This window comes from Homo sapiens, chromosome 2 (genome assembly GCF_000001405.40).
Source record: "Homo sapiens chromosome 2, GRCh38.p14 Primary Assembly".
Classification (NCBI taxonomy): Eukaryota; Metazoa; Chordata; class Mammalia; order Primates; family Hominidae; genus Homo; species Homo sapiens.
Genome location: NC_000002.12, coordinates 160,304,259 through 160,327,458, shown reverse-complemented (window position 1 = coordinate 160,327,458; position 23,200 = coordinate 160,304,259). Strand labels below are relative to the sequence as shown.

At 38.2% G+C, this 23,200-nt stretch overlaps 1 protein-coding gene across 3 annotated transcripts in view, besides 2 other annotated features; it reads left to right on the top strand.

Moving 5' to 3' along the window:
* Positions 1 to 23,200, top strand: part of RBMS1 (RNA binding motif single stranded interacting protein 1) — a 221,657-nt gene that overhangs the window by 166,349 nt on the left and 32,108 nt on the right. For all 3 annotated transcript variants that reach the window (NM_002897.5, NM_016836.4, XM_047445368.1), the window contains exons 3-4: positions 9,232 to 9,290; positions 14,212 to 14,303. In NM_002897.5, the coding sequence (NP_002888.1) occupies positions 9,232 to 9,290; positions 14,212 to 14,303 (151 nt within the window). The remainder of the gene's footprint in view (positions 1 to 9,231; positions 9,291 to 14,211; positions 14,304 to 23,200) is intronic.
* Positions 18,304 to 18,473: an enhancer, noted in NCBI's record as "experimental_54032 CRE fragment used in MPRA reporter constructs". NCBI's record gives its function as "activates a minimal promoter by MPRAs in K562 erythroleukemia cells, with activity observed for the introgressed 2:161165582 or rs79054495 variant allele {active_cell/tissue: K562}" and the evidence as "EXISTENCE:reporter gene assay evidence [ECO:0000049][PMID:34662402]".
* Position 18,388: a transcriptional cis regulatory region, noted in NCBI's record as "Neanderthal adaptively introgressed variant 2:161165582 (GRCh37/hg19 assembly coordinates) or rs79054495 in the experimental_54032 CRE". NCBI's record gives its function as "modulates activity of the experimental_54032 enhancer by MPRAs in K562 erythroleukemia cells {active_cell/tissue: K562}" and the evidence as "EXISTENCE:reporter gene assay evidence [ECO:0000049][PMID:34662402]".

The following is a 23,200-nucleotide window of genomic DNA, read 5'->3' as shown; positions in this document are numbered from 1 at the left end:
ACATTTTTCATAGTCTATGGCAAAAAAATGCATCTTAGCGATTTTTAATGAGATAGTTTTAGTGTTTTATATGAATTTTTTAGTCCAAGTTATACATACAGTAAACAGCATCAATTGTTACCTTCATATACTATTTATAATGGATTCACCCAGGCATGTTGGTAAGACATTAACAGGAATGATTCTCAATTTAGTGAGAAAAGGTTATTAGTCTCAAAATCTGGGTAGAGATGACCAGTTTCATTTGTACTCTCAAAGGATGTGTTGATCTGAAAATTTCAAAGTTATGAAAAATCAGGTATGTAGATGTCTGTATCTTCTCTTGAAAAAATGTGATAACTGTCCCAATGCTTCTGTAATTCAGTCTTCATCAGCTCACATGCTGTAAGGCAGCTAGGCTAGCTGAGAGTTAGACCACATGAGGATTGTCTGAACTTCTGCTAAATCACCTCAAATCTGCAGGCTTTGCATCTGTGGCTGGAGCTGAAATTGTTTTCCTTTCCAGGACAGTTCAGAAAAGTGAACTTTGTGATTCTTTTTCCCCATCTTCTAAATTCACAGAGACAAGCCACTGGCTTTCCATTGCACAGATACCATGGATTATTTTTCTCAGATGTCAAGTTAAGCATTTAAGACTTCTTCAAAGAAATCCTTTGTCTTTAATCTCTCCTGCCCTGTAGAGCCTTTCCATTCACCCCCTCCGTCTCGTCATCCCTCATTGTAATTTCTTGAACTTAAGTGTTATTGCCAAAGTACAAAAAGCAAGAAAATAAATAAAATGTGGCATCTCTCTCTGCTAATCCTGGACAAAAATTTTCGTTAATCTTACTAAAATAATTGCTCTTGTGATTTCATTCTACAGTTCCAAATCCTCCAGTCTCATTCTGTTCTCTCTGTCCTTTTCTTAGAATGCAGAGTCCTCCAAGACTTTTGGAGACTTAAGTTTCCATAACTCACTACATAGGTTTGCATTAGATTCTTTATTGTCCTACAGAGCCCACCTAGATTTTTGTTTTCTCCAGTTTTTCTTACTCAACTTGACCTTCCCTCTATGTTTATGCCTCCTTTATTTAGCATACATCATACAGGGTCTCATATTTTTAGTTATTTTTTAGTATTAAAAGTTTTTTACATACCCCAAAGGACTGTCCTCCTTAATGGTAGGTGTGGCATCTGCTGTATTTTTCACAGGCCTTGAAAGGGCATACTGTAAACATGCTATAAATATTTTTGAGTTGATTTCTTGGTTTGATCTCTCCTTTCTTGACTGTACTTATCTTTCCCGTAATCCCTTCACCTTCAGCGCCTGGTTTTCAGTTGTTTCTGACCTTTAGGTCTGCAGTAGCTTTTCTTGCCAAGCATTCTCCTTTAAACCCTGGCTTCAATTCCAGCTACATACACCAGGAATCTTTTATTCATAAAGGTACACTCAGCCATATAACACAAGTGGAAGGGGCAGCTATCTAATGTAAGAGTTAGGCCAGAACAACCAAATGAAATGGGGAATATCTTTCTATACCCTTAATTTTTGTGTCTTGGAAGTAGAAACATTGAAAATCATCAGGGCAAAAGAGGTAAATGTCATATAAAATTTACTTGATTTTGATTGCCTAATAAATTTTTACATCTTCTATCTCATCTCCAAATACCACTTTACATGCCAAGTAAATAAAGGAAATATAACCAGCTGAATTATTCCAGGTAGTGAGAATTCAGAATAACATGGGTAATGACCCTTTCTACTATTTTTAGGCCTCATTCTCCAAAAAACTTTATTTGCTAAACAGACGTAATGTATACTTTGTGTTCCTTCCCCTATCCAACCACTGTTGAAAGAGCTAAAGCAAGTTTTAGGAAATCCCCTTTGTCTGGGAGGCCATTGAAAAAACAAAGCAGCCAAAAAAGTGAGTTAGAAAACTGCATTCATCTGTGTGTACATGTGTGAGGACGTGTATTGTATTTTTTCTTTTTTCCCAGCAACTCCAAAATAACAAGAGGGGGTTTCCTCAAATAGATTTGTAGTCCTCAAATTCATTTCCCTCAAATAGATACCTTAGTTATTCCTTTTAAGCTTTAAAGCCAGTCCTGCCGACCCCCTCACTGAGGTATATGCTCTACTGGGCATGTTATTCCAAGATAGACCAATGTCATGTATCCAGAAGGTCTTTAGTCAGGTAACTTCTTCCTGAATGTCATCAGCATCTGTCTTAAGGACCTTAGCAATTACGGAGTCCACCCCTCATCTCCTTACTCTTTTGGAGCTGTGTGCAGAGTCAAACTGGGAATTACTTTCAATCTGTGGCACAGTCTGTGGTTGGTGACCCAAGTTTCCATAGCTGTCAACATGCTTGGCCTTTAAACTCCAAAGCAAACATTCTACCTCCCATCTTTGCTACTTAGTTGTGTAACCTTGAATACGTCCCTTACTGACTCTGCTCCTGAGTTTCACATCTACAAAGTAGGAGTAATACTCCACCTCCCCAAAAGATTAAGAAGATTAAAATAATTGGCGCATATATATGTGTGTGTGTGTGTGTGTGTGTGTGTGTGTATATATATATATATATATATATATACACACACACACACACATCTCGCTTAGAATAGTGCCTGGCATAGAGTAGGAGCTGTATACCTGTAAGTAATTACTTTTATTATTCCCCTGAATTAACTCACGAGGTCATAAGTTTTCTGATGTTGATGTTTTATTTTTCTCTTCTTTTTCTCATTTCAATCCCCTGTCCCTCCTACTTGCTAATTATGGTCATATACATAGGCACAGCGTCTTTTACGGGATGTGTGAATCCCTGTTTGTCCTTCAGGAGCAGCTATTATGAAAACTATCATTCTATATGCATGAGCAACATTCTGCCCTTTCTCAAAGTTAAAGTATCTTTTTTGTTTATACATATCACTTTTTTTTTTACTGTTGTTTTAAACACACCCATTGTGTTTTCAGGTTTAATAATATTCATAAAATATTCTAAAACTAGCACAAGCACTGCAAATGACCCCATGTGCCTTAAATGAATTTACAACTGAAATGACCAATATTAAAATAACTTAACAACCATTGTCGCCATCTGTTGGTGGTGGTTGGAGTGGACGCCACTCTCCAGAGCTTTGGCTTATAACCTGGACTCTTCAAAAGCTGCACGTTCCCTAGCACACAGGAAAATTGTGTGTGTGTGTGTGTGCACGCGCACGCATGCTTGCACGCACACACATACGTTTATACATTTGTACGTGCCAGTGGATAAAGTCTATAATGATATGCACCAATAATCATATCCAGGACTTCAGGTGATTTTAATTTTTCAACCTACTTTTCTTTGTCTTCTAAGTGTACAATAAGCTTGTGTTTCTTTTGTAATATAAATTACCAAAAAGGTAGAATTTAGGAGTAACTAAGTGATAGAGGCAGAGGAGAAAATTAAGCTTTATATACTAAGTGCAAACTGAGATATACCTACATTTTATATTGTAGCAGATGAAAGAGGAGATCTAAATGGAAAGAAAGAAATGAGTAAAACTGTGGTGTAAACTAAAGAAGTTTTAGTAAATTCTAAGTAAAAGGTTTTATTAGCCAAGCTCACTTGGGCCAAGAGGTTTGAACATGAGCTTTTACCTGTTATCCTCTCCCTTTGAAATTCATATTATTATATAGTCATGTCTCTTAATTACTCTTCATCTTTTTACTGTCAGAGCTTGCTCTGGAGTGGATTATCTACTCTAGCAAAGAATATTATAATCTGGGTAGCTGGGGCTGTGGTCTAACCCAGTTACTTTGAAGCCAGATGAAATCCAAAGAATCTTCATAGTCACAGTTTTTTTTTTTTTTTTTTTCTTTCATGAAATTCTACATCATGCTGTTTGGTCGTGCACTTTCTTAGTGTCCTTAGAGTGTGAATTCCGCCAGTCAGGAGACCTGTTTCTCCTAGTACATCATATGTCCCTATTCCGTAACAGTGATTTTTTTTTTAAACAGGGGGTCTCACTCTGTCACCCAGGCTGGAGTGCAGTGACGCAGTCCTGGCTCATTGCAACCTCTGCCTCCCAGGCCCAAGTGATCCTCCCACCTCAGCTTCCTAAGTAGCTGGGACTACAGGCGTGCACCACCACGTCCAGCTAATTTTTGTATTGTTTGTCGAGAGGGTGTTTTGCCACATTGCCCAGGCTGGTCTCGATCTTCTAAGCTCAAGCAGTCTGCACACCTCAGCCTCCCAAAGTGCTGGGATTACAGGCGTGAGCCACCGTGCCTGGCTGATGATTTAAAAAAAAAAAAAAAATTAAGCTACAGATAGGAGCAAGGGGAGGTGAAGATCTGGTTGCTTTATGAATTTGTACCCAGATGTCTGTTACTCTTACAGGCATTGGTGATTGACAACAGAATTAGATTAAATGTTAACTGTCTATAACAGCTCCCCCTCACCCCTCACTTTAAATCTTACTGCAAGTAAAATGAGTAGAGAGAGATGATGACTACTGTGAACCCTCCCACTCCTTATCCCAGTCCCTGAGGTGCCATTTGATATATGGCTCCTCCTCATATTCTAGATCTGGACCTTTCCTGGCTCTTTTGTCATGACATCAAAAACTACTGGTTCTATACTGCATTGCCACAATAAGATATCCAAGTTGCCCACTGAGGAGCTAACTTAGCTAGGGCCTGACGGATTTCAAGGGTTGCATCTTCTAGTTCTGGGGTCTGTATTTTAATGGGAGCCTCTTGTGCTGGAAGTGGTATAATTGAGTGGACAGCCCAAAAGAAGAATATTTTAGGAAAGGGAAGCCCTTCAGCACCTTAGGTAAATCCAAATAAGCAGCTTCCTGTGCCACTTGTTTGCAGAAGGCCAGTATGCAGCTGCCCCACAGACAGAGTGGAATCCGTTTCTGATGTTCTGTGAAATCACAGTCTTTCAGTCTTACTCCACAACTTGCAAGGAAAACCACAATAGAAAGTAAAACTGATAAATGTCAGAAATCACTCTTTTTCTACTCACCATCCTCTGTCTTGTTATCCCTCTTTCAACCATAAGCCACGTGTTTATTTCTTATGTTTAAAACAAATGAGTAAAAAATGTCCTGTGCTTGGAAAATGAATATTTGAGTACCGTACAGACCTTCCATTACCCTTCTTCTTCCATACTCAGAGGGCATTGTTTCTCAAAATCATTTCATTGATAAGTTGCCATGAAAATTTACTCATTTGTGAGCTCTGGGATTTCAGGCAAGGTGTAATGCTCAAAACTTGTATGAGCTTTTTGTTTTCTCATATGCACAAATGGGAATAATAACACCTACCTCATAAGATTGTTGTGAAGTTAATTAAATAAAAGCATACATGCAAAGTACCTGGCACAGTGTCTAGGACATAAGTAGGAAGTCAACAAATGTAATGCCCTTTCTAGTTTCTTAGAAAATAGCCAACTAAATAGTTGAAGAGATTAGTGATAGTTTCATGGAAAAGATAATGTTTGAACAAGTTCTTCAAGTTCAAGCATGGGTAGAATAGGTAATGGAGAGATGTTTAAAGGGGTATTTAAGGTAAATTAATGCAACAGACAGGGTTGAAAAGCTGGATGCAGGGAGAACTATTATGTGTTTTTTGCATGTGTCTAGGAACAGTGAAGGGAGAAAGTAAAGATTGGAAACATATCAAAGACAAAATTTGGAAGAGTTATTGATCACCTGGGTTCAGGAATTACTGAGTTAGTGGTGGCACGAGGACCCCGAGCTTGGTAGGAGATTGGGAGAGTGAGTGCTAGTGAATGAAAAGAGATATGGAGAGAGACAGGGAAAGCCATGTTTGAGATAATATTGAAGATGAGATTTAGAAAGTCGTGGGCTTGATATTTCACTACTTAAATATTTCACTGGATATTTAAGAATCCTAATAAAATATTAAGGTATTTAAGTAGAAAGAGGAAGAGAGAAAAACCAAAGCTTTGGTGAGTTTTAAAAAAAACACATACACACACAAGGAAGAACTGAGCAGCATCAGAGGAGATTCATTAATTAAAAACATGGCACTGAATGAATTTCCTAAGAGAAGAAACAGTTGAAGACCAAATATTAAACTTGATGAAAGTACTTAGTTAAGGAGGGAGAAGAGGAAGCTGAATGGGCAAAGAACCCCTGAAAGAGGGCTGTGAAAGATGGAATGAGATGGGGGAGTACCTGCCACAGAGAAGGGAGGTGCACTGGCAGAGCGGACTCATGCCAGATGTAGCAAACAAGCTGAGAGAGGGTGTGGCATGGCTTGCATTCAGCACTACTGAGCCTTTTCTCTTTGCCTACTTCCTCATTCCCCTTTCTCCATGCATTTTCCTGTCTTTCCCATCATTAAATGTTGAAAGCAGAACTAGAAGTGTCGAAGGCCAACCCTTTACCTTCCTTCTCCTAAATGAGCCTTTCTTCTGTTTGGTTTACAAAATGCCCTGAACTCTGAGAGCTTGAGCAGTCTCTTAATCACTGTGACTCTCAATCTCCTTACCCCAAATTGGAGTCATACCTACCGTCCCCCCGCTTTTGGAAAAGTATGAAACAGGGATACAGTCTAAAAGTGCTTTTGTCAAGGACTTGTACACACGAGAGAGTCCTGGTGCCTTTGTCCATTTTTCGTGTTCCTGTAAAGGAATACTTATGCTAGGTAGTTTGTTAAAAGAAAAGGTTTATTTGGTTCGTAGTTCTGCCGGTTGTACAAGAAGCACAGCATCAGCGCTTGCTGCTTGTTGAGGGCCTCAGGAAGCTTCCACTCCTGGCAGAAGGCAAAGGGGAGAAGGTGTGTGCAGAGATCACATAGAGAAAGAAAACAGAGGAGGAGGTACCAGGCTCTTTGCACAACCAGTTCTCACCAGAACTAATAGAGCAAGAACTCACTACCACAAGGATGGCACCAAGCTATTCATGAGGGATCCACCCCCACAACCCAGACACCTCTCATTAAGCCTGATCTCCAACATTGGGAGTTTTTGTTTTGTTTTGAGACATGGTCTCACTCTGTCACCCAGACTGGAGTGCAGTGACGAGATCATGGCTCACTGCAACCTCTGCCTCCCAGGCTAAAGCGACCCTCCCACCTCAGCCTCCTAAGTAGCAGGGACAATAGGCCCCGCACCACCATGCCCAGACAATTTTTGTGCTTTGGGAGGGTAGAGACGGGGTTTTGCCGTGTTGCCCAGCCTGGTCTCGAACTCTAGGGCTCAAGCCATCCGCCGGCTTTGGCCTTCCAAAGTGCTGGTATTACAGGCATGAGCCACCATGCTCAGCTGGGAATCATATTCCAACATGAGATTTGGATGGGTGAAATATTCAAACGATAGGAGCTGGTAAATATCAAGCATGTAACCTAGGTAGATAGATGGTTGCTGAAAGGTTGTCTTTAGATCACTTATTTTTTTCTCATTTGTAGATTTTTATAGATTATTTCTTTGTAAGCCTAGTGATCTGTGTTAATATTGTTAAAATGCTCAGAATCTCAACAGGGAATTGAAGGTGTTTGTGCAGCATTATGCCTCTTAGATGTAATTGTCATTTGAACCTGAAATTATCTTTACTTTCATGCCTAGTTAGTAATCATTTGATTACATGATTACACAGAGTGAACATAAGGAAGATTAACTGAAGGAGAGAAGTGGCTCAAGCCATTTTTTTTTCTTCTAGATAAATATATTTCAGCTTGTTTCAGTGCATAAAATACAAGTGTGTAATATTCACAATGGTTTAAAATGCTACAAAATACTTCCATTTCCTAAAAATTTTAATATGCTTTTTGTCCTCAAAATCATTCATGAGAAAATTAAAGTAGAGCAAATGTGGAATTTTTGAAGTAAATGTCTAGGAAAGTAGACTGTAAATGAGGAAACGTGAGACTCAGATGCATCGAGTAAGTTAAATGCATTTCCCAGAGTCTTACTTTGATTTGATTTGTTTTGTTTTGTTTTTGAGATGGAGTCTTGCTCTGTCGCCCAGGGTGGAGTGCAGTGGTGCAATCTCGGCTCACTGCAATCTCCGCCTCCCCGGTTCATGCGATTCTCCTGTCTCAGCCTCCCAAGTAGCTGGTACTACAGGCATGCACTACCATACCCAGCTAATTTTTGTATTTTTAGTAGAGACAGGGTTTTGCCATGTTGGCCAAGCTGGTCTCGAACTCCTGGCCACAAGTGATCCATCCGCCTCACCCTCCCAAAGTGCTGGGATTACAGGTGTGAGCCACCGTGCCCAGCCTTACTTTGATTTTTAAGAAACAATTTTAAAAGTTATCTTTCAAAACTTTTTTTCCTCAATTTTTAGAAGGCAAGCATAGATAACAGTGCTTTTCCTTATAGTATGGCCACTATGGAGAGAGTGTGGGGTTCGGTTCATATTTACATTATACTGTCGCTTCGTTTTCAGTAGCAGTATGCTAAATTTTAATGTTCTTAATTTTTCCTATATTCCCCAGCATCTATGGCACATAAAGGAATTTGAACATATTTCTCATAGAAACTTCATAAAATTAATGATTAATCCCTGATTAATTCTTATATTCTTCTTCATTATATTCTTGATTGTCCGTTTCTTAGACACATGTGCATGCACACAAAGTGAGTTTACTGTATAATTATTATTACTGAGTTACAAGTGGTGTAAATAAGTGTATTTATGAACAGTTATAAAAGTCCTCAGTAAAAAGGATCTGTTTGACACCATTAAGTGTGCTAAACATAAACATGCGCACACACCTGCCCTTCTGTGGCGATATGGAGCCTTGCAATGGTGTCCACAGAACCAAAATGAATAGAATAATGCAAGCAGCTTTCCGCTGTTACTATTTCATAAAAGCTGTATGGATCATAGGACAGTACTTTCCTGTTAGAATTCTATAACCTTGCATTTGGCTTTGTATTTTACCACTGATATACTGTTATTAGAAGAAAATATTTGGTATAGAGCCCACATCCCATGTTTCTGTCCTAAGATTGTCAGGTAAGTACTTGATTTCTTCAGAGTTGAACTTCAAACTGCAATCCCACAATTCAAACAAGAGGCCTAGCCATTCCCTTTTTTTCAGTTTTGAGTTCAGAATTCTCATTTCCTGTCTCTTAGTAAAGAAAATTTTGTACTCTAAAGTTTGCAGATGTTTGAAAAGAATGTGTGTTCTTTGGATTTAGGCATTAATAAGGGTTCCTTATAACTTCTTTTTCTTTCTTTTCTTTTTTTCCTTTTTTTTTTTTTTTTTTTTTTTAGATATGGGAAAATAGTCTCCACAAAGGCAATTTTGGATAAGACAACGAACAAATGCAAAGGTATGTTTTCTTGGCTGGTTATTTGGTAAATGATAGCTTTAGAAAAATGATGGAATTTAAAACCTGATCTTTGGTTTCAAAACCACCTTCGTTTTATTAAAAACCAGATCTTATATATCACCCAGTTTCTGTCTTGCACAGTGTCAGCATATTACTTACATTTGTCCCTGGTTGGGTTTTGGCTACAAACCCAACAGCAGCTAGCAGTTTGCCAGAATTCCAGATTTGACGCCAGTAGAGTTAACATGCAAAATACGGGTTGGCATTTAGCCCTTGCTTTTAAAAGGGGAGTAGAGTTAGAAAATAGCTTTTCTTTCCTGAGCCTGAGGAGATTAGAGCTGCTTACTGAAGACCATTGGACTGTACTAAAGAACTGAAAAGATTACATATTGTGCAAATTGGCTCTATTAATTAGAATAGAGTAGTTTTAAGCAGTACTTAATTACATGTTTCAGTACTCCCAATTGTTCTCTGCTGAATGCCTGTTGACAATATTGGCAGCAGGGAGGAGACAACCATTTTCACTGACCAAATTGTAATAGGGAGGGGAGGTCATGCGCCCCTTTGAAATATGCTGCTGCATTAATTTGATGCACTGACCTTCAGTTTTCCATGTAATTAGGATGAGCTCATCCAGCCCCATGAGCTGGAAGAGGAGGCGTCTACAGTAGGCAGCACTGATGCTCTGTGGTTCTGACTTTTAATGATCCAGCATCTTAACAATAGGCATGTGATTTCTAGGAAAAGGGAAGAATAGAGTCAGCTGACTTTGAATCTAACTACTGACCCCATGAATTGAAATAAGTTGACAGGAATAGGCAGAGAAGGCAAATCTCCTCGTTAATTAGACCCCAGTTTTTCAAGTAGTGGTGACGGGGCAGTGGCTTAGCACAATCTGAAAAAGGCAGAGAACATAAATGAACCCTATGGTAGGGGCCTCTCCTTATAAGCCAAGCATTTCCTTTAATCTAGACTTGAAGTGGTTCATTGTATTTCTGTCTCTTCTTCAAAGTGCCTAAATTTAAAGGAGCTATTGTAGCAAATAGCTAAGCTCATGTTTAATCAACATGGCACATTAAGGCAATTTTGCCTTGGGACAGTGAATAGAGCGTGCTTTATGTAGAGTGGTACCCAATAAATATTTTAAATGAATTAAACTAGAGAGAGTCAAATTATAGACTGAAATGCATATACTTAGTTTCCAAGGTTAGTCTTATTTAACATTTATAAATGATTTGGGAGAGCAGAGACACAGAAAAAAAATCTTTTGGTTTTATAAAGAAAAATAGACTCTTGCAGGAATAAAAATAGGAGGCTGATCACCAACATCACTTTGAAACTAGAGAGAAATCAGAGTAGACAAGTGGTTTTATCCATACCCTACCTCCTCTCTTTTTCTTCCCCACCCCAAAAGAAATCTTAATGTCGGCTCAGTGTGTTAAAAAGCAGAGCTGCCCTAATTTAAGTAAAAGAAAGGACCCAGAGGTTGAATGCTTCACCACATCCCTGAACTGAAAACCACACTATTTTACACTCTGCTCCAAAAGCAACCTATTCCATAGAAGCCAAAATTCCTCAAAGTGCTCTACGTGATCTAGAAAAGGTATGGGTAAAAAATAAACTAATGCTAAATCTAACATGTTGTCACAATACAAACCCTTAACAGTTGGTAAGGGTCCATAGTAGAGAGATTTATGGACTTCTAAGGGTAGGACTAATTCAGAACTTATTTTAGATACAAGAAGTCTCCTGGAGACCTTCCTTTAAAGTGGTTTTTGGGAGACACTGCTTTTGGGTGTGTGGGCAGTAATAGAAACCTTCCAGGGCTCTCTGCTTCACACAAGCCTCCCAGCAATAGGTGTCAACAGATATCTGGTGGGTTGAGACGGTGGGTGAGTGAGTGAGTGGAGAGGGTAAGAGTGGGTTTATAAAATCCTAGAAGCAAGAAAAAAGTAATTTCAGGACAAATGAGAAGAAATAACACTTAACTCATGATAAAGTTAGATAACATGTTACCCAAGATAACTTGACGTGATAGGTAGATAGATAGGCATATAGATGACTGATTGATAAATGAATATAAATAAATAAATGCATAAAAGATTATAGAATATTAATATAAATGAAAGGTACTTGTGTTATATACTAATTTTTTGAAATTAAGCAGATCAAAGGACTTTATATATGGGAATGAGAGATCTTAGAGGGTTACAGAACATTTTTTGCCACAAAACATATTTTTGGAACATGTATTTTCAAGAGAATTAAGCTGAAGGAAACATTAGAATAACATGTACCTAAGTTATTAAATTTTAAAATTCACAATTCAGTTGCTATTTTACATTTCAGTTTCTCTCAAAGTTTAGCCAACAAAAGGCATTTATAAGCCCTCCAATGCTGGTAAATATGTCAGTTCAGGACAAAAAGAAAAGCTCACAAAAGATTGGTTATGAAATTGATTGATTCATTATTTATACTTACAGAAGTGCATGTAAGACCAGAATACTTATACACATTAGCAAAAATAGTTTCAGGATGAATTAGACTAACAGGAAAAATAAGGGTAAAAGCAGGCAGCTTTAAGTTATTACCAAATGTCCCTGTGTTTCCTGCTGGCCAAGGCAAAAATAGAAAACATAGCTCGCCCCATGATTCAGTCATCACAATGTGAGAGGAGAGCAGGAGTAACATAACTATTCCTGGTCCTGAAACCTGAGAGGAATTCTCCTGGGAAGCCTCAGTGAGAGGATGCCATGTTATTTAGTGAACCCTGCCTTCAAAAACGTCTTTACACCTATTTATATAATCAAATCCATAGAGTCTGTATAACTCAAATTGTATATTGTCTTCTATTTACTTGAAAGTAATACAGATAGACAGCATGAAAGAGCACAAGGTTGCATACTTAACTATTATGTTTGTCTTCAGCAAATGGTTATAAAACAGCCATAGTGTGGTAGGCATTGGGAAAGGCCAGAAAAGGATGTAAACAGTTAACTAAAATGCAGGCATTATGGATTTCTCTATAAGAAAATAACAGATAACAGAATGCAAATATTACCTGAGTTGATAGTAACTTCAAATACAATAACATCAAAATTGAGATCTTCTGTTTACTGTAATTTGTTGACAATAGCAAAATTGAAGGAAAAAACTTAAATATCCATCAGTAAAAGCTGTATCATTTCATTGTAGCTGGGTTCTCATTTATGACCTGCTGAAACTATATGAGAGAGAGAGAGTTTGTGCATGTACATGCCTGTGTGTGTATCCACAGAGCTTTGTTGCGTGTTAGCATGGACAACAGATGTCTAAAAAAACATCCAAGATATGTTTAACCTTATTTCTAACCTGGTAGTTGAGTATCATTCTTTGTTTTACCTAGATCAACCTCTTCCTTTTGCTCTCCAGCCTGGCTATTTCTCTACTGTCTAAATCAAATTAAGCCTTATTTCAGCCCAATTCCAAGTAATATATAAGGAAGCCGCTTCTTGTTTCAGCTTTAACATTCATCTCTCCTGAAACATCTATTTCTGTAGTCAATAGTCTGCTCCATCTCATTATAACTTATTTCGTTACCAGGCAATATTTTTGGTACTAATACTGCAAAACTGACTTTGGGCTGTTTCTGAGCTTTCTGTTTGACTTTATTGATGTTGATTTTGTCACTAGTATCATACTATCTAAATTACTACTAATTTAGATAGAAATATTACTTAGTAATATTTCTGTAAGTAAATGATAGGGCTAGCTCCTCTTCTAAACAACCTTCCAATGATGCTTTTCTTTTGCAAAGTATTCTTATTCATTTACAATTAGTTTGAGTTCCATGGAAGGCTCTGGTATTTTGCCTGGTACCGTTTCGTTAGTCTACTAAATATAACTTGACCCTTTTCTCAATAACTTAAGAATTATCACAGTGAAAAGTCTGTGATTCTCTATTTTGATACGGTGATACTCATGGGATCTGTTGAGATTCATGAGGCTGTTAGTGCTTATGCTGTGTAAGTCCTATTCTTTGCATAGTTTTTCTCTTTTATTGCTTGTTAGTAGTTTTGACTGTTAGATGCCATTCATATACTTACTTTGTAGCAGACCTGCCATCACCCCAGCCCCCCTTTTCCCCTAATTTTCTGCTTTTGACTTGTTGTGGCCTGGGAAGACAGATGACCAGCTCATTAAAAATGTTTGTAAAGCTATGGATAAGGAAACTTTGAACCAGAGCATCTCTAAGGAGGTTATGTGTTTGTTTTGTTATGTTTTGTTTTTAGACTTTAGAACATGAACTGCCAAAACATATTTTAGGTGTCTTGAGGCATTTTCCCCAGCTCTTCTTTATTTTGAAGGGGTGTGATGAGCTGTATTTTAAGAAAATAAATATGATATCTTTAACTGAGTACTAAACTTTAGATTATTTTATATTGGGGGTGTCTAATAGTTGTACTTATTCAAATTTTTAAAAATACAAGTTTATCTACAAAATAAACATAATTTTTGTTTCTGTCATTTGTAAACTCTGTAGGATGTCTCCATCTTTCTTACCGAATCATTAAAATGCTATTTCCCTGAAGTTGATTATTTTTTTTCTTCCTTTTTTTTTAAATTTCTTTTTTTTAAACTTGGTTGGCAACTTAGATGTCTCCCCCCCACCAGTAAATACAAGACACGTAAGATCTTGAATAGGGAAACGCTGGTTCTTTACTCCCCCAACTCCCTCTGAAGGCAGGCTTGTCTGTCTGGTGATAGACGACAGGGAAGAAGGGCCCAGGAGGCCACTGGCCTGCAGCTGTTAACGCCTGAGCTCCCTCAGGACATTTTCATGTCTCTTGCCCACACCAGAAACAAAGTAGAGCTGTTCTTTTACCCTTTTACCTAACCACAGAATAATGGCTTAAATACTAAGTGTGTTTTTGCATTTCAGGTTATGGTTTTGTCGACTTTGACAGCCCTGCAGCAGCTCAAAAAGCTGTGTCTGCCCTGAAGGCCAGTGGGGTTCAAGCTCAAATGGCAAAGGTGAGTTGAGAGCCAGCAATTGCTTCTCTGTTCCACAGCTTTGGTTGTGAAGCCCGACAGGTCTGCTTTTTCTATCTGCATCTGTAATCTCCCCTTCATCCCACTCAGCACAGCGCCTTCTGGACACTTGTCCTGTGCCTCCGCAGCCTCCACAGTCACTATTGTGCAAAGGACTGTTCCTTGTAACTTAATCTATGAAGGAGGATTTATAAATATATAAAATTTACATAGTAAATTATGTAACCCCATAAGTAAATTGAGAAATAGCAGCATATTTTCTCAGGTAATCAGGTATTTGTGAGTCTTTAAGATCTGTACTGTTTTTTTTTTTTTTAAATTTAAATGTCAATGCCCAGGGAATGAATACACTTCTAGACATGTTTCAAAAGATAATTATGTATAGCATATAGCATATTCTATTTCAAAAATATATATAACTGGCACATACATTATACAAATAATAAAACAAGTAGTTTTAATGCACATGTGGGCTACAGATGCTATTTTTACTGTGCAATAGTGAGACATTTTTAGGTATTGATTATTAATGGTATATAAATCTACTTTTTAGTAGTTCTATAATGACTTTATTCAAAATTTATTTCTGATGAACTTTTAGCATATTTTAGATGAGCAATATTGTTGAAAATTTCTTCAAGTGAGTAACTTGCTTGAATGTTAGGGGATTATAAAATGGGAGACCATGTTTCATGCTTAATATATATTTTAGCACAGTACACATGGATGTTAATTATGATAAGGTACATTTTTTTTTTCTTGAAAACTTTCATATTATGGTAGTTTCCCTCTACGGTTTTGACTTAGAATATCACAGTTTCTGGATGTAAATGGAGTTGATCAGCCAGTCATTGTGTCCTTCTCTTTGCATTAGGTTCATCCTGAAAGTTAGTTTAAGATGCTCAGACCCTCTTCCAAAAGTAATGATGCCTTAGATAGACTTGATGGCCTTGAAAAAGTTGGCCTTACATGATCTAAATCCCTAGTTCAGGTGCAGTCATAATTCTAAAGCTGGAGGGACCTTAGATTGTCTTGTGCATCTCCCCCCAACCCCACTTTCAAACGGGCATGGCCTTTTTATTAAAAGAGCTAAGGCTCAACAAGGAGAGTCACACTTGGAATGACATGCATCTCTTAAGTGCTTACATTCTATAATACACATTCCATTATGCACCAAACACATTTAGGAGTCTCTGTTGAATAAACTGATATTTATGTCCCAGTCTTTATTACCCAAATGTAATTTTGCATTACATCATAATACCTACTGACTACAGTGCAGTTATTAAGACATCTGTGTAATTAATTAAATTTTTTAAAACCTGAGTTCTTCAGTTGCTACAGAAAATATTTTCAAGCCTGAAACTCAGCAGTTTGATCTTTTGAGTATTCTTTTTAAAAGAGCAATACTTTTATATTATCTGGCTTCTTCAAGTAAAGAGGAAAGTAACAAGCCTGAAACTCAGCAGTTTGATCTTTTGAGTATTCTTTTTAAAAGAGCAATACTTTTATATTATCTGGCTTCTTCAAGTAAAGAGGAAAGTAATTTTATACTGTCTTCTGCTACTTTTGAATTGTAGCACGTAATTGTTCCCTGAGAAGCATTTACATACACATAAGAAGGTTCATAGAAGTTAAAGGACTCTGGTAAGCGGATAAGTTACCTCCCAGGACCTTAAGGATGTTGAAAAACCAGTGTGAAGCTATAGGGTAGAGATGTACTTTGAATGAAAGAATCAACATAAAGATTTCAGTAATTAGTAAGAGGAATCACCTTTCTAAGTAGCCGTTGCCATTTAATATTTTTAAAACTTTGCATTGAGTTGGACTTACTTTAGATTTTCTTAAACTCCAGAGTAAGAAGTTAAAATAAACAGACTATATATATATATATATATATATATAGATAGATAGATAGATAGATAGATTTTTTTTTTTTTTTGGAGACAGGGTCTCACTCTGTCACCCAGGCTGGAGTGCAGTGGCACAATCTTGGCTTACTGCAACCTCTGCCCCTCCAGGTTCAAGCGATTCTCCTGCCTCAGCCTCCTGAGTAGCTGGGATTACAGGCACATGCCACCACACCCGGATAATTTTTGTATTTTTAGTAGAGACAGGATTTTGCCATGTTGGCCAGGCTGGTCTTGAACTCCTGATCTCAAGTGATCTGCCCACCTCAGCCTCTCAAAGTGCTGGGATTACAGGCATGAACCACCACACCTGGCCTCATGTGAGCACCATGATTTTCAGATTATTTGTCCATCGCGTAGAGATTCTCTGTGACATTATTGAAAGACGGTGATTATGAGGTTTTAAATATGTTTATTATGACTATGTGATACCTATGTTGCATAATGATTTGCAGAATGTTTAATCTGGTTCTGTAAACAATGGGTAACCCGGCATTGTATAAGCAGGACTTTTAGGGCACACTCGGAAAACAACTTACTTCTTTCCCCCACTGTCCGTTCTATTAATAATGCACTCACTGAAGCTCCTTGCTTTTGGATAAAATCCAGGGCAAGTCTCACGACTTCTGCAGCCACTGTCGTTATTTCAAGAAGTTCCCCAAGCTTCTTTCGTTTCAGGTGTTTCTGGTTGATATGTGTTTGGTAGAATGCCTCAATTTTTCATAGCCAAACTCCATGAAGCGTACATATGTTTCAATACATTTTCAGTCAGAGTCTCAAGTTACATAGCAAATACAGTTTATAGAATGTCAGACTCATATGTAGATGTTTTTAAAACTGCTGAGAGTCAACATAAGGGATGTGTGTCTTGGATATTGCTGATGCTGAGAGACATCACAGCCTAAAAAGCAATTGTTGGCTGACAACCGTATTATTTGGTGATCAGGCAGCAGTGTTTCCATTCCAACAGAACCATTTGTTATATGTGTGCACACACATACAGAGACAGATGTAATGATGAGTGTATTTAGTTACATTTTAGGGAATTATAGAAAAATAGGAAAATAAAATAGTTACATTTTAGAAAATTTGGTTGAGGATTTTGACTGATGTGTAATACATTATAATTTTTTCCTGTTTAACATAATGTGAAATAGGCTCTCGGTTAACATTTTGATGCTGAATTTCTGATTTTCAGGAACAGATTATGATGTTAAGTGTGTGTGATGCCTGTAATTTAATACTCCAGTACTGTTTATTTGACAAAAATTTTGAGTATCATGTAGTGAATCTTCAGCTGAAGCTTCTCCCTTCCCTGGATTAGGTCTGCTCCAAGTAGCAAGCTTATAGTGAGATGAGCAAATGATTCATTTCTTTCCTATTTCCAAAGCTTGTGTTTTTCTCACTCTTCCTTCAGCTCACTAGCCATGGCTTCATTTAACCCCTCCAGGGATGGTGTGCTGGAAAAGGATGACCTGACAGTGAGGTCATCTGATGTTGATTTTTCTAGCCAGGCAGCATGCTGATGTTTTCTCTCATGGAATGCTTTGGTTTTCTGAGGTCTTTAACCAACTCCATCCCCACCTCCCTAAATTGATCTTTCTCTCCTATAGCTCCTTGAAGTGAAAGAATACATGTCCTCAGGTTGACATGGTCAGCTCCTGATAATCTAATGGTCTATCTTCAGCCCCTTTCTGCTGGAATTTCTTCCCCTCGAAGCAGCCTTCTTGGGAGGATCTAACACAACCCTGGGCCAACTCTACCTGTGTGGCCCACATCTGATCTACCTTTGCCAGTCATCCTTAGGAGAGAGTTACTTCCCAGCCATACTTGTCAGCCTTTCAGCCTTTCTCCTTGAAGATTCCCTTAGATTTTAAGTTAGACATCTATCTATTGTATCCATTCAGGTTCCTGAGACACAGATCGAGCTCCCTGAGTGGTCGCCCTCTCTTGCTTGACTGATGGTGAGAGGAAAGCAATTCACATGGTGAGACTTGGAACGCTTCAGCGTTTCTCTCCCCATAAATGCTCACTCTCAGTCTCCCCAGTCTCTTAGACATAGGAAGTGAGCAGTCAGTTAAGTGTCCCAAACCAGTTCTCAGCCAGCGCCTTTCAGGCTGTCTTTAGGTGGTCTGATTTCTCACTCTGGAATGTGGGAGTGCCTGACACCCATTGTTTTGTGGTCTCCCCTTAAACAGAATTAGAAAGAGTTCTATTTTAGCAATCTGTTAAGAATGTAGAGGCTTCAGTTAGAGTGGCCCCTGAACACTTACCTAGGCACCATTTTCAATGCCTGTAATATTAAGCAGCATAGAATATTAACTATACACTGTTTTGAAGAAGCCTTTACAATGCATTTATTCAACACTGGACTGGGTATATATTGGCACTATATGTCGTGTCTACAGCGCTCTTCAAATACTAGCTTTCCCCCAGGTTGAAAATGAGCACTGTTCAAAGACCTCTTTAGAAAGCTTGATACTATACATTGGCTAAGGAAAAGGACCCCTTCCTCCATCATCTGTGGCGAGGACCAGTACTCAGGTTCAGAGGTGCTGGCCAGCTGCCAACATTCTGCATATTGTGAATTTCTTTAGGTCCCTGTAGAATGACTTGAGATTCCTAGACCTGATTTCTTTTTTATGATATCATTATAGTTACAAGAGGTATTTTAAATGTCAGTGGGTTTATTGTTCTATACCATAGAACCATGAGTTTGAGTATCTAGACTTGACTTAGCCCCTTTATGCTGTCTGGATAAAGGAGCACCTGAAACACATCTTTCAGGGAGATGATTTTTGTTTTGTTTTGTTTTGTTTTGTTTTGTTTTTTGAGACCAGATCTGGCTCTGTCACCCAGGCTGGAGTGCAGTGGGGTGATATCGGCTCACTGCAACCTCCGCCTCCCAGGTTCAAGCGATCCTTCCACCCTCAGCTTCCTGAGTAGCTGGGACTACAGGCACGCACTACCACACCTGGCTAATTTTTGTATTTTTTTGCAGAGACCAGGTTTCGCCATGTTGCCCAGGCTGGTCTCGCACTCGTGAGCTCAAGCAATCCACCTGCCTAGGATTGTAAGCATGAGCCACCACACCCAGTGGGGAAATGATTTTTAAAAGGAGTTTAAGTCCAGCCCCTGTGCTTGGGTGATAGGGAGGGTACCCGTCACTTTCCACTCTCCTCTAATGAACTAATCAGGAAAATTCATATTGCCATATATTAAAGTCTTTCATCTTTATATAATCAGAAAAAAATTAAGGGCAATCACTTAGAGGATGGGACAGAAATATAATATTGTTTGACATACTGGGTACCTAAGTTGAAAAAGAACCCCACAAATATTCAAAACTAAATTGCAAAACTGCAAAATGAGAGCATTAGAGACCAGTGGTTGGTTTTTATTCTTGTTTTAATTTTCAGCGCTTTGTCTGGTACCTGCCATGTGGCAGGTTTTAAGTGTTTGTTTTGTTGATGATCAAATAAAATAATTGAGAAAATAACTTTTTTCCAAGCTTGGGCAGATATTGAGAATTAAGAAAGGGACAGTTTAAAATTATATCCATCAAGTACACTGATGAAACTTAACCTAATGGCCTTGGGCCTTTTGGAAAACCTGTTTATGTTAAACTAGGCAAATGTTACAAATGTGTACATCTTTCAAATAAAAGACTCACATTCTATAAAAGGAAAAGAAACGCAGATAACGAGCTACAAAGACAGAAAACGCTAATGGACATTGTTTATATCTATTAGCAAAGTGGCTTCTGTAGGCCTTTCATTTCCTCCTATGGCCTGATGGGGGTCAGCAAATCCTCATATGTTTTTTGGCTGTTGGGAAGTTTACACTTTTTTTTTTTTTTTTTTTTTCAATAAATAGGCAGTCACACGAGCAGGAATATAATCCCCCCTCTCCATCCAGAGCTTCACCATGCTCTGAGCAGTTTGCAGTCACATGCCAGTGACTGGCTATCTGCTGGTTGTTGAACCTATTCTGTACAAGAGAAAACAGATGTCTGCTCTTACTGCCAAGTCCCCGTTCTTGCATTTTAGGAACCATTCCACACGCACGGGGAGGTTTTTGTTAATTTCTTTCGGATGATGACTGAGTGCTTTACGCTGTGCAGGACTTCCGATCCTGGCTTTTCTACTCACGTGAACGTTAGTAGCTGTTTATCACTCTGACGGCCAATGTGAGATCTAGTTTTCTACTTGTTATGGAAGCCCTTGAACCCTTCCATGCCTAGGGACAAAGGAGGCCTGTTGACCCTATTTTTATGTTTGGTCACCTATAATTGAAAGAATAAGTGTTTTTTTCACACATAGCATTGTAAATAATAAACCAGTTATGGTTGTCACTGCTTTTAAAGATACTAAACTATCCTCATTTCAAGAACCACCACCAGTTATCACATGCATTATATGTCTTGTTCACAGTGAATGTGTGGTTATAAGAATGCATAGACAACAACTAAAAAGAAAGTAAAATTTAAAAAGAAAAAAAAAACACCCGTGAAAAGAAGGGATTAGAAAAAAAAGAATTCATGGACACTTTGTTATTTTGTGGCATGTGCTGCCAGCTTGGAGTTTCTTTCCATTCTTTTTTTTTTTTAAATTACTGCAACTTTGTGGACAATGTTTGTAAGATATGTTGACCGTTTGAAAAGAAACATAAATAACATTAGCGCTAAAGGTCATCCCAAATGAAATTAGGTTTTTAACCGACAGGGTCGTTGCTATTGAAAACAAATGCATTCACATCATAGGAAATACTTACCTGCGTTAGTCTACTCTATTTCACTATATCAAAGAGTGGGTTAAGAGCCCAGTTCTTTCTGGGATTCTGATTTATAGCATTTTTAAATATTATTTCCTCATCGGTAAACTTTCAAGTTGAATCAAGACTTTAAAGCATGTGTAATATTTTTAATAATATTTTAATAACAGAAGCAACTAAAACACAGATTTAGTGCCTACATTGTCGATCCCCTTCTAAAAATTCTTCATACATAACAAATTCTCCTATGAACATTCTTAAAAAGAAAGTCCACTCCATATATACTCCATATATATGTGTATACACACACACACACACACACACACGAGAGAAACAATCTTGCTCTTGCCCAGGCTGGAATGCAGTAGCATGATCACAACTCATTACAACCTTGAACTCCTGGGCTTAAGCAGTCCTCCTGCCTCAGCCTCCCAAATAGCTGGGACTACAGATGGGCACCACTACATCTCGCTGACTTTTTTTTAAGAGATGAGGTCTCACTGTGTTGTCTAGGCTGGTCTCAAACTCTTGGTCCCAAATGATCCTCCCACCTTGGCCTATACTGGGATTGCAAGTGTGAGCCACTGTGCCTGGCCTCACAATATTTTGATATGTGTTTCTTCTGTAACATTTTTTATACCATATCTCTGTCCAAAGAGTGTTTTAGTGCCCTTTAATTAAGGGGTCCCCATCTTTATTAAAAGATAGAACCTAAAATCAAAACTAAGATGGGTTTGATCATATCATTCCCCTGCTTCCATGCCGCCAAAACCGCCCTATTTTTCAAGATGTAGCTTTCAAACTGCAGTTTCTTCTTCCTCCTGTTTCCCCGTCACCTACCAGTGTGCAATCATGTGTTGCTTAATGACGGGGATATATTCTGGTGAATGCATTGTTAGGTGATTTTGTCATCATGTGCACATCATAGAGTGTACTTACACAAACCCAGATGGTGTAGCTTGCTGTACACCTAGGCTATGTGGTATAGCCTCTTGCTCTTAGGCTACTAACCTGTACAACATCTTACTGTACTGAATACTGTTAGCAGTTATAATACAATGATAAGTATTTGTGTATCTAAATATAGAAAAGGTACAGTAAAAATATGGTATAAAAGATAAAAATGGTGCACCCTTATAGGGCACTTACCATGACTGGAGCTTAGAGGACTGGAAGTTGCTCTGGATGAGTCAGTGAGTGAGTGGTGAGTGAATGGGAAGGCCTAAGACATTACACTGCTGTAGACTTTATAAACACTGTATACTTAGACTACATTAAATTTATTTTAAAAAATTTCTTTCTGGCCAGGCACAGTGGCCTACACCTTTAATCCCAGCACTTTGGGAGGCCAAGGTGGGTGGATCACAAGGTCAAGAGATCGAGACCATCCTGGCCAACATGGTGAAACTCCATCTCTACTAAAAATACAAAAATTAGCTGGGCGTGGTAGTACATGCCTGTAGTCCCAGCTACTCAGGAGGCTGAGGCAGGAGAATCGCTTGAACCCGGGAGGCAGAAGTTGCAGTGAGCTGAGATCGCGCCACTGCACTCCATCCTGGCACAGAGCAAGACTCCATCTCAAAAAAAGAAAAATTTTTGTTCTTCATTAATGAATCAGCTTATTGTAACTTTTTTACTTTATAAACCTTTAAATTTAAGTTTTTGACTTTTGTCAAGTATGTGTGTTTTAGCTTAAAACACATACATTATGCAGCTGTACAAAAGTATTTTCTTTATACATTTATTCTATAAGCATTGTTCTATTTTAAAATCTATTATTTATTATTTTCTAAACTTTTTTATAAAAAACTAAGACACTAACACACACATTAGCCAGGGCTACACAGTGTCAGGATCATCAAGACATTACCAGGTGATAGGAAGTTTTCATCTCTATTACAGGACCACCATCGTATATGCCATCCGCCATTAACTGAAATGTCATTATGCAGCTCATGTGCGTAATATCACAAGATAAGCATGGCTTATCTTCCTGGAGTGTCGGTGTTACTTACTGGTATTAGGTCAAAAACATTGTTTCTCTATTAAAATAAACTTAGATAGGAAGTAGATTGCAAAATTTACATGACTTTTTTTTAAAGATAAAACACAAGACTTCAAGAACATTTTGCAGCTCTGGCAAGACTACCTTGCCTTTTGCCTACAGTTACATAATTATTCTCCTTGCTTTTAGCA